Here is a 10,577-nt window from a genome sequence, read left to right as displayed (position 1 = left end):
AGGGCCTGGTAGCAGGGCGACCAGAGACTGCAGGCACCTCCAGGAGCAGAGCCCAGAGCCCAAGCAAGGAACCACTCCCAGGGGGACAGGCACTTGGGGTCAGGGCTAGGAATGGAGTGCATCTCCCCAAGACAGGCAGGCACTCCAGAGACAGGCACCCTGTCCCTGCCCTGCGTGGTATCCCAATAGGTTCTTCCCTCGCCTCTGGGCCTCAGTTTCTTGCCCCTTCCAGCCTGTCCCCAAACCATCAAGAGGACCAGGGAGAGGTAGAAGGGAAGTGCTAGGAGGGATGAACCTCCAGGGGTGGGGCAGGGTGGGCACGGTCTCCCTGCCAGCCCTCAGCAGGCCTGACTATTGTCAGCTCTATGGGGACAGGAGCCCAAGGTCTGGGTGCTCAGCCTGGGCCAGGTAGGTGGGGCTAAGCTTGGAGATCCCTGCCTCAGGACATGTCCTCCTTGGCGGAGGGGAGTAAAGCCCACCTTGTCCAGAGGGCTGGTTAAAGGCAAAAGGAAGTTTCCAGGGGAGGTAACACAGTCTGATAGGGCTAACCAGGCAGAAAGAGCAGATAGCAGCAGGGCCCAGAGCTGGGCAAGAGCCAGTGAGAGAAACCTCACGGGACTGGCTGCCTATGTGCAGCTGCTGAGGGTTGGAGGAAGGGGGCTGCCAAGAGCCTAGCCACCCTGAGTGGGTGCAGTTACTATGTCCAGTTTATAGGCAGGATGTTGAGGACCAGAGTGGTGAAGACCCTGCTCCAAGAAAGTCAAGCTTTGAACCCAGGCCAGGACTCGGGGGCTTCAAGGTCCAGGCTCTGATCTCTGCTCAGGGCCCCTCATGCACACCAGTGGTGGTCCCAGTCCTCTCATCCTCAGGCCTGATGGGACCTTGTGGCCGAAGCCTGCCCACTCCACTGCACCCCACCAGCTGCCTTAGCCCTTCCTCCCCCACCACCGGGCCTGCCTGTTTAACAGTTTCCACACGTCCAGTGCCCAGGGATGGACTGATTGATCTGTAACACTGAAAAAATAATAATGGCTTGATCGTTACTGAGGATTAAAAGTAATCCTTTTGCTGTGGCTATTACGACTCCGTTATTCACGAGTCAGTGGGCTGACCCAGCCTTTGAGCCCATGGGATTCCATGAGCTCAAGGTGGCTAGGAGCTGGGGCCTCCCTCCCTGGGTCTCCCTTGCCCTGTCTGCTAGGCTCTGGAGCCAGAGGGGCCTGTAGCCCCCATGTTTTGGGGCCTGAAGGTTTCAGGGTCAGAGCTGAGCCCTAAGAGGGTGAAGGAGCTGGAACCCCCCAGCCAGGAGTAGAGGCAGGGGCAGGAGTTCCTCAGGGTCATGGCCCAGCCTGGAGACTCCCACTAGTGTCAGTGTGGCGTCTGCAGCCCCATCGACCCTGTGGCTTTTCTGCGGCAAGAGACCGCCTCTGCTTCCTCCACTCTGCCCCAGTCTCAACCCTGGGGAAGGACAGGGGCCTCAACAGAGCCCCACTCTGAGGAAGATTTGGCATCCCTGGGAAGGTAGTAGGTCACCAGGTAAGGAAGGAGGGGCACAGTGATGACAAAGGCTTGACTCACACACTGCCTCGTCAGGCTTTACACAGCCTCCGGGCCAAGTTACTGAGCTCGGCACCTGCTGTACTGCAGGTGCTCGCCTAACACTGGTGACAAGCATTGCGAACCGTACAAGTCACACAGTAATGCCCTCTACACAAGGTCACTGCAGGCTTATGAATTGGGGGCCTCATCCATCCCTGGGTTTGGGGTCGGCGTGGGCAGGCATTTGTGGTTTAGGTCAAGAGGAGGCTCCAGGATGGAAAAGGAAGAAGAGGAGTCAGGTGGGCCCTACAGGACCTGGAGAAGGTTGTGCCTTTTACATGCAGAGAAGTGGTAACCACTGAAGGGTTTTGGGACAGGGGACGGTGTCATGACCAGATCTACATTTGGAGAAAAGGCTCCAGGTGTTGTGTGGAGAATAGGTGATGAGGATGAGAGGATGCAGGTTCCGGGCAGGACAGAGCCTGAGCTGGGGGTGCACAGGAGGTGGTGTGAGGGATGCTGGGGTGGAATGGAGGAGGCAGAGGGGCCAGGGTGGGTGGCCTGCCTCAGAGGGGCACTCTGAGCTCAGGTGGGTCTGAGGGTCACTCCAGGGAAGTGTCCAGGAGCTCAGGAGGGCCAGGATTGGAGGCAAGACATGGGAGGCATCACGGAGTAGAGAGGCCTGGGGCCCCCAAAACCCTAGGAGTGTGAGGCTGGGCTGGGGAGAGAGGAGGGTGTGGGTCCCAGCCAAGCAGGCCTTGCAGTTAAGGGTGGCAGGGGACAGAGGACTGAGCCTACAAAGGAGAGGGAAGCAGAGGCCAGGAGGGCCCAGCTCTGTGGGGTGAGAGGGTTTGACCCCAAGAGACACTTTCTCCCCCTGCTCCCGGGACCCCAGCCTCATAGCCTCCCCCACCACTCAGTGTTCTTGGCCTGAGGAGGGGTAGCCAGCCCAATGGGGCTGGAGATGGCCCTGGACAGCCCCTCTAACTATGGGGTTGTGACACTCTGCCCCAGGAGAGCAGAGGCCACAGCTCCATAGGAGGCCCCACCTTCCTCCCTGCCCTGCTAGTCCATGCTTCAGAGGAGGAAATGCCGGCCTCCATGACCTGACTTCCACTTCCCCTAATGGGCAGCTGACAGGCTTTAGTAGGACGTCCCCTCTGGGGCCCACATGCCATATCAGGCCTGGACTCAAGGATGGGGGTGAGGTGTCCTGAATACCAAGAGGCGGGACCTTCTGAGTAGGGCTGTAAGCCCGGAGGTGGGACGTGCCTGCCCCACTGTGGGACAGGGTGGGGTGGGGGTGAGAGACCAGAGCCACCCACCTCACTGAGCATGGTGGGCCCAACAGAGGCTGGTCCTTGGATCTTGGTCATGGGCTGAGCAAGACAAATGCATTGGTGAGGGCTGGGCTCCGGGGCCCAGCCTGAGCCGGACTCACCATGTGACCTTGGGCAGGCTGCTGGCCGTCTCTGTGCCTGGCCGTCCTCATCTGAGGAGGGCCACAATGGCTCCATGCCAGGCACACTGTGAATGGTACAAGGTGCACAGCACATGAGTCACTGGCCAGGGGAGGGTTCAGTGTGCAGTAGGTGGCCAGTTGATAGTGATGGTTGTCATTATGATTGACAGGACATCACTGCTCTCAGCTCTGCAGAAGGCCCCCGAGGCCAGACTCAGTTCCATCCTTGGGAGCCCCAAGGTTTCCTGTAGAGAAGGGATCCTTAGAAAGTACCAAATAAGAACATCTGGGTGACCCGGACTTAGGCCCAGAGGGTGGCCGGGCCCCAGCGTCTTCTCCAGCAAGCCTTCCCTGAGGTCCCGAGCCCCCACAGCACTGCGCTTCCTGTCCCTCAACCTCTCCTGCCATGGTGGTTCTGCGAGGTTGTGCCTGTGAGCTGCAAGAGGCAGGACCAGGCCTGCCACACCTCCACCAGTCAGCACAGTCTGGCACCCAGCGTGCCCAGTGGCAGATGTGGGATGGACAGACACACAGCTATGCCCTGAGGGACATTCTGCTCTCAGGCACAGGGGCTTTGTTGGAAGAGGCCACTGGAACCAGCCCCAAAGAACAGGACAGGCTCTTGTGGACAGAGGGCTTGGGAGCCCTGTGGGAAGGGGCTCAGGAAGTCTGGGAGAGGGCCCATGGGCCTGGATGGACAGGGTGGGCTGTGGGCCCCTCCTGTGGAGCTCTGGATAGCTGTCAGAAGGGCAGGGCAAGGTGAAGCACTTTGTAACTTGCAGCTCAGCCTTAGCTCCAGAGGAGCTTCCTCTTGGCACTGGGGTGACACAAGTGTGTCGGGGGTAGAGAGTGACACTAGGGCTTGGCCTAGTACAGGGAGTCCCATGGAGATGCCCCTGGGGTCACTGCACAGGCTTCACCTTTCCTGCATGGACCCAGCTGTGGTCAAGGAGGTGCCCACACAGCAAGCTGGGGAGTGTCTGGGGCAGAGAATCTCTGAGGGTCTCGTAGGATGAGGGGAAGGGAGTCACCAGTCCAGCCTGGCCCCAGGGAGTGCTGGGGATGGAGAGGCTTTGGGGTGGGCATAGGGCAGGCTGCCTTCCTCCGCTTCTGACCTCCCTGTGCTCTGTCCCTCAGAGACTGGCTGATGCTGCAGAGAACTTCCAGAAAGCACACCGCTGGCAGGACAACATCAAGGTAGGAACCCCAGCACCCTGCCCAGCACTTAGGGCATGCCCATCCATGCGTGGATTTGAATGCTGGGGGGTGGGAGCTGCCCAGACACATGAGGGACACAGAGGGGTCTGTGGAGTAGAGCCAGAAGCCGGTGTCCAACATTCAGCAATTACTCCAGGCGCCTCTCACTGCTGGGCACACAGTGAGATATGAGCCCACATTCACTCCAGAGGAGCTGTGGAGTCACCCGTGAGTGGGAAGGCTGCTTGAAAGTAGTGTTCCCTGTGTTCCCCAGATAAGGTGTTCAGATTCTTGGAGAGCCCCCGGGTCAGAGGCCTTTGGACTTCAGGACTTGTCAGAGGCTTTAATACAGTGACCTGCAAGAGATGCTGGGAAATGGGGACCAAATGCCCTTCCCTGACTTCCCTTCCCTGACTTCCCTGAACAGCAACCTGTCCACCCTGGAGGCCCTCAGGCTGGGCTCAGGGGACTGGGCTGCCATGGTCACAGAAGCCTCTCCTTCCACCTCAGAAGGAGCTCAGGCTCGCTCCTTGGAGCAGAGGTGCAAGAAGCTGAGCGCAGAGGATCTAGTGTGTGAGGGAGGGAAGGGGAGCCTCACCCATCCCAGCCTAGGCCTGAGTTGCCCTCACCAATTCCTTGCTGTGTTTGATTTTGCCTGGGGCTGGATACCGGCCCTCGGGCCAGCATCAGACGGAGGCAGGGCTCCTCCTGGATTCAAGGAAGCCCCAGTGCCAAGGATGATGGAACCCTTGAGAACCAGACTAGTTGGCAGGGCTCCTGTGTCCTCCACAGCTGCTGGGGTGTCTGGGCCATGCCTCCTAGTACTCTTGTGCTAAACACAGGGAGGAGCAGGGTGGGGGTGGCAGACCTGACTCACTCCAGCTCTGGGCCAGGCACATCTGCTCTAGGAAGCAGTGGGGTTATTGTCCCTATTTGACAAGAAAACAGAAGCACAGAGTGGATAGACCTACCCGAGGTTACCTGTTGGTGGCAGAGATTCACAGCTGGCTGTCGGGTGTCAGGGGCTCATGCCTATGCTCCAAGCCCTAAATCTGTTCCTCCTCCCCAGTCCCCATCCCCCAGGCCATGCTGAGGCTGCCTCACCTTGCCCACACCATGGCACTCTTCCTTTACCCCTGGCAGGTGCTGGGTGCTGCCCTCAGGGAGTTCACATGAGATTGGAAATGAAAGATTATTTTCTAAGGTGAACAAATGAATGAGCTAGTTACTCCCCAAACCAGTCCCCCTTCCCCAGGAGACAGGACTGACCCTTCTCTCCCTCTCTCCTACTCCAGTGCTACTTGCTCACAGTCCCTGTGGGACCCAGGCAAGGGCTTCAGTTTCCCCATTTGGCAAAGGACTGACTGGTGCCAGTGCTGCCTGTGAGCTCAGCTATGGGGTGTGAAGGAATCACTGCACACATCAGGCTATGTGGGTGCCAAGCCGCTGATGGCATGGGTGCATATCTGGCCACACCAGCCCTTGGGCCCTGAGTACTTCTGTCCTGAGATGAGGCAGTAAAGGGCTCTGGCTGCTCCCCTCCCCCTGGCTTGACCTGAGGTGCCCCCAGCTGTGGGTGTGACCACAGGCAGCCCTGACCACAGGGCCACCTGGGCCCGGCCTTGTTCATCTGCCTCCCTGCCACATCCCACCGGGTGCCTGCCGGCCTGTCCCACTGGTGTCCCAGGTAGGGTGGGTGGGGCTGTAGTCACCTCCCTCCTTCCCAGCTGCTGGGTCACTGTTCTTCCCAGGAAGCACTGCTGCTACCACAGCTGCCAGGCTGAAAGGCATCAATGCTAATGGTGTATCCAAGAGCCCAACACCAGCCAGCTATGCTCGGGCTGCCAGGGATTGCTGGCAGCAGTGGCTGCAGGAGGGACTGTCCATGCCAGGGGAGGGTGCAGGGACTTGAGGCTGGGAAGGGATGCTGTTTTGTCCCTTGCAGGCACACCACCCACCCCTGAAACCACATCCTTCCAATGACCTTCAGGAGATGACAGACAAGGAGCCATGTTCCCTCCCAGAACTCAGGAGAGGCACCTGGCCTGTGCCACAATTCTAGCCTCAAACTCAGGCCCTCTTCCTAGGAATGCCCTTATCCACCCCTCCTTCAGTGCAAAGCCTCTCTCTCCAGATGTCTGCCCAGGACTCCCTTTTCTAGCCCCAACCCTAAGATCGGCCCCCACAGCCCACAGCAGTGACAGCGTGACCAGCAGCAGTCTTCTTACCTCTGAGATGGGGAGGATGGCGCCCAGCTGTTCTGGCCACAGAGGAGATGCTTGGCCCATGTGGCCAGACTGGAATCCACTGCACCATCAGCCGGGTGTGGCCCTCCCTGTATTGACAGCACACAGCAGGTCCAGATGCAAACCTCTGAGGAACAGACAATGGTATCAATGGTATAACCCACATCCACATGCCCACAACTCCACTGACCTCAGCCTGGGGGGTTGGGGATCCTGGAGTCTGCAGGGTCAGAGCTGGGACAAGAGATCAAGAGGGCAATGCCTGGATGTAAAGCTCCTATCCCCCTTCCTCGTCCCTGGCCAACCCAGACCCTTGGACACCAGGGAAACGATGGCCCTGATTAGCAGGCAGTGCCTCCCATGCCCCCACAGGTGGGCAGCAGGTGCCCTGGTGCCCATAACACTTAGGATAGATGAAGAGGGGCCACCTGCCGGACCACACTTGGTGCCAGCACCACACTATGCCAACACTGTGTGCCACCAAAACCACCACCAGGGAGGAGCTGGGCCAGGGCGTGGGAAGGGGAGGGGGGAGTGGCCATTGGCCCCAGGGCCTCAGTGCCAACACCAGGGCCTACAGGAAACAAAGCCATGAGCTGGGAGTGGAATGGAAGAGACAGCCCTCCCCTGGGAAGTGTAAGGGAAGGACACAGCCCTGCCCTGGGGAATGTGATGGTGGGAGTGGATGGAGCTCTGCCTAGGGACTAGAGGGAGGGCTGTGAGGGGGCTGGGCCAGGCTAGAAGAGCCAGCTGGACAGGACAGGTGGCCTTCCTGACCTGAGGGTCTGACCCAGCCATAGGGCCCCTGCCTGCCTCTGCCAAGCCAGCGACAGACGGCTCTCTCAGAAAACAGTCCTCTTGGCCAGGCTGAGCTGGCACTAGGCCAGGGCAGGAAGGCCAAGCGTCCTCACTGGTGCAGCGGGTGGCTGGCCTAGGCCTGCACAGGCAGCTGGTGGGCAGGCGGCAGTCATGTCTGGCCAGGCCTTGGCAGCCACCTTCCAAGCACTGAACTTGGATGGCAACTGTCCTTCCCCCGCTCACCCCGTGCTCATTTCCTCAGCTTGTTCCCTGAGACCCACCCTCCTCACACCTCTCTTGGGCTTGGCTCCTGCTAAGGAGAATGTATGTCACCAACACAAGGGTCACGTGGACCCTCCTGCCCCGCCCCTCGCCTGTTATCTGTGTGCCCAAGTCCACATGGGAGGGCATGTGTGTGAGCTCAGAGTGGGTGACTCCCCCAACTCCTACCCAGTTGGGCAAAATGGCCCCTAAAATATCAGATAACACAGGGTATGTCAGGGGAGTGGTCCCCAGACATTAAGGACACCCGTTTCACTCCACCCGGGACTCTTCCACACTCAGCCTCTCCTCTGGGCTGTGGAGTTGCAAAGACAGAAGGTGGCCACTCATGGGCAGAGTTGGCCCTACCCCTGGGGAGGCCCAGCTCCCTGTTCTCTTCATACCCTCAGAGGAGGCCTCCTCATCCTGATATTACGAGTGGGGAAGTAGAGACCCAGAGATGAAGCCTCATGGAGGCTGCATGATTTAACTGGGCAGCCTTGCCTCCTCGCGGGTGACCCCTGGAATTCCTCAGCAGGCCACTGGGACAAGCCAGTAGGCTGGGTCCTTTTTGGCTCAGCCTCAGTCTTCACTCACTGCCCAGGATTCCAGAGCTCACGTGTCCAGGTCAGAATTTGAGGCCAGGACTCTTTGCTGAGGTCCTGCACTCAGTCACTAGAGAATACTGCCTCCTTGTTGCTCAACCCAGGAGGTGGTCACTGCTGATAGACATTCAGGTACTGTGTTGGCCCAAGCAGACAGAGGCCTTCTCAGGGACCCTCCCACCCTGACCCTGACAGCCCCCTCCCGCCACACCCCCAGCTCCACACCACATCATGCATAGCAGTCACAGCTGTATTTATGATATATTTTCACATGTATGACCTTGTGTGCCACCATCCATGTACTTCTTACCAAGGAAGGGGCATGGTCTCGCCCTCCTAGAGGCAGGAGAGGCCGGGAGCGGTCATTCCCACATGCATCAAGCCCTGGGGGGCAGGGAGACCATACAGAATCCTGAGCCTCATCTGTCATCTGCAGGGGACTAAGAATCCTCCTGGGTGACATGTCCCCCCATGTCCCTGACGCCACCAATATCTGATGTTCCACTAAGACTGTGAAACAGCAGAACAAATAGAGAAGCAGAGCCCCTGGAGCAGCTGGAGAGGTGGCCCCAGTGAACGCTGAGGTGCCTAGTGTTGACCCAGGTGCAGGCAGGACCCAGCCACAGCCTGTGAGGGGAGCCTAGGGCTCCTGAGGGCTGCAAGTGACCAGCCCCCACCTGTGTCCTTTCCCATGCTTGTGGAAGGTTTGCCTAAAAAGTGGGTGAGTGAGGCCCCAGGTTGTAATCTGCAGTCCTCCCACCGCACCCGCCCGCTTTCATTACGGAGGGAAAGAGCATCAGAGCTGTGTTTATAACCCCCTTTTAGATAACAAATCACATTTTCTTTTCACAGCAAGTGTGTTGAATTGATATTTTTTCCCCCTCAGTTTAATAGGTTTGTGTGTTCAGGAATGATCTTCGTCAACTGAAACTCCTTATTGTGTTTGATGTAATGTCAGCTTTCATTATGCGCTTCGGTCGGAGCCGGGCGCAGGGAAAGGCCGAGCACCCTGCAGCTTGGGCCCGGCCTCCGCCCCCGCCCCAGGCCCACCGGGGCTGCAGCCTTCTTGCACTGGTGGGTGGGTGGTGGGTGTGGGCAAGGTTGACAACAGGCTGGAAGGGCAGGTTGGAGCCAGGGTGCGAAGGCTTTCTTCTCCCTGCTCTCGAAACGTCTGACCGATGGGGTCATAAGGCTGCTGTAAGAAAGCGCCAGACACGGCAGGCGCCCTGGGATGCTGGAACTCTCGGGCTGCCTTTGGCCTTACATTCCTCAGGAAGTTGTGGTCTTACCCATGCGTGGTGCCAGGCATGCAGTCAGTGTTGCAGAATGCTGGGACTAAGCCTGCACATTTGGCCAGTGGCCTGCAGCCCCTAGACCCCTGGTGAGAGACAGACTAGGACTGTTCACTGAAACAGTCCCAGGTACTGACGGAGCCCGTGGGCAGTCACCACAGCCAGGCCCCTTTCCAGAGTCCTGCCTGGGGGAGCCTGGGGCTCAGAGAGGGAGTGGTCTAGCCCTGGGGTCACACACTGAGTGAGCCCCAGCTGGGCCTTGGGAAGCGGGTGTCCGGGCGACATCTGCGCTGGTGGTGTGAGTGCTGGCTCTGCCTGCCACTTCACAGCCAGCCCCTGGGTGGCAGACTTGGTCACCACTCCCATCTGCAGACCTCAAAGAAACAAGCCCTGAGTGAGTGAGGGGCCACTGGGGCCACGCTGCAGGTTTTTGCCGTACAGAACAGGGCTGAGGAGCACCTGGAGAGGGTGACTTGGACAGCAGCTCTGTCCTGAGTCGTGGCCCTGAAGCCCATGGGGGCAGAGTGTGGCAGACCCTCCTGAGCCAATGGCACTTGGCTGACACCGGGCTCACCTTCTGGCGGCCTCTGTCAGCCGCGCTCGGTTCTGATTAAAGATCATTACACATGAAATTAGCCCGTTTGTGTTACGGGTCCCCGGGGCGGCCGGTGATTATGACGCACAGATGGCCAAGAACCCAGGCGACTGGCAAGCAGACATGGGCCAGGGACAGGCGGGGCAGACGCAGGCGGGTGAGGGCTGGGAGGCAGGCGCCAGGGCTGGGCTTTGTTTTCTCCCACTCCTGTTGTGGAAACCCCCTCGCATTTCACAACAAATCACAGATAATTAATAAGTACATGCCCGTAATGAGCAGGCTTTTTAATAGAAGAAATTGGAAGATGCGGCGTCGAGTCATTATTTCCCTCCTGCCCAAACTCGGCTCTGTTCTCCGTCTTCCTCACTCCCTGGTGCTGCCTCAGCCAGCCTCTCTGCAGACAGAACCTAGAAGGCTGCAGCCCAGGACACTTGGCCCCTGAGTTAGGAAGGCCCAGGGAATTCTCAGTCGAGGGGTACTGCATGCTCCTGGAGCCTGTGCAGGGCCCCTGAAGATAGGCCTGGCTGCATTCTCAGCCCTGACCTATCCGGCCCTTCCAGGAGGGGGGCTCTGGGTGGGGGA

At 59.0% G+C, this 10,577-nt stretch overlaps 1 protein-coding gene across 6 annotated transcripts in view, besides 6 other annotated features; it reads left to right on the top strand.

Moving 5' to 3' along the window:
• CACNA2D2 (calcium voltage-gated channel auxiliary subunit alpha2delta 2) overlaps window positions 1–10,577 on the top strand; it is a 141,632-nt gene that overhangs the window by 105,938 nt on the left and 25,117 nt on the right. For all 6 annotated transcript variants that reach the window (NM_001291101.1, NM_006030.4, NM_001005505.3 and 3 more), the window contains exon 4: window positions 4,139–4,198. In NM_001291101.1, the coding sequence (NP_001278030.1) occupies window positions 4,139–4,198 (60 nt within the window). The remainder of the gene's footprint in view (window positions 1–4,138; window positions 4,199–10,577) is intronic.
• Window positions 2,363–2,917: an enhancer, noted in NCBI's record as "H3K4me1 hESC enhancer chr3:50432821-50433375 (GRCh37/hg19 assembly coordinates)". NCBI's record gives its function as "activates a minimal SCP1, AML or CMV promoter by ChIP-STARR-seq in primed H9 embryonic stem cells {active_cell/tissue: H9 hESC(primed)}" and the evidence as "EXISTENCE:reporter gene assay evidence [ECO:0000049][PMID:30033119]".
• Window positions 2,918–3,473: an enhancer, noted in NCBI's record as "H3K4me1 hESC enhancer chr3:50432265-50432820 (GRCh37/hg19 assembly coordinates)". NCBI's record gives its function as "activates a minimal SCP1, AML or CMV promoter by ChIP-STARR-seq in primed H9 embryonic stem cells {active_cell/tissue: H9 hESC(primed)}" and the evidence as "EXISTENCE:reporter gene assay evidence [ECO:0000049][PMID:30033119]".
• Window positions 3,474–4,029: an enhancer, noted in NCBI's record as "H3K4me1 hESC enhancer chr3:50431709-50432264 (GRCh37/hg19 assembly coordinates)". NCBI's record gives its function as "activates a minimal SCP1, AML or CMV promoter by ChIP-STARR-seq in naive H9 embryonic stem cells {active_cell/tissue: H9 hESC(naive)}" and the evidence as "EXISTENCE:reporter gene assay evidence [ECO:0000049][PMID:30033119]".
• Window positions 8,731–9,335: an enhancer, noted in NCBI's record as "H3K4me1 hESC enhancer chr3:50426403-50427007 (GRCh37/hg19 assembly coordinates)". NCBI's record gives its function as "activates a minimal SCP1, AML or CMV promoter by ChIP-STARR-seq in primed H9 embryonic stem cells {active_cell/tissue: H9 hESC(primed)}" and the evidence as "EXISTENCE:reporter gene assay evidence [ECO:0000049][PMID:30033119]".
• Window positions 9,336–9,940: an enhancer, noted in NCBI's record as "H3K4me1 hESC enhancer chr3:50425798-50426402 (GRCh37/hg19 assembly coordinates)". NCBI's record gives its function as "activates a minimal SCP1, AML or CMV promoter by ChIP-STARR-seq in naive H9 embryonic stem cells {active_cell/tissue: H9 hESC(naive)}" and the evidence as "EXISTENCE:reporter gene assay evidence [ECO:0000049][PMID:30033119]".
• Window positions 9,941–10,545: an enhancer, noted in NCBI's record as "H3K4me1 hESC enhancer chr3:50425193-50425797 (GRCh37/hg19 assembly coordinates)". NCBI's record gives its function as "activates a minimal SCP1, AML or CMV promoter by ChIP-STARR-seq in naive H9 embryonic stem cells {active_cell/tissue: H9 hESC(naive)}" and the evidence as "EXISTENCE:reporter gene assay evidence [ECO:0000049][PMID:30033119]".

This window comes from Homo sapiens, chromosome 3 (genome assembly GCF_000001405.40).
Source record: "Homo sapiens chromosome 3, GRCh38.p14 Primary Assembly".
In the NCBI taxonomy this organism is placed as follows: Eukaryota; Metazoa; Chordata; class Mammalia; order Primates; family Hominidae; genus Homo; species Homo sapiens.
This window is presented reverse-complemented; position numbering and strand designations above follow the sequence as displayed.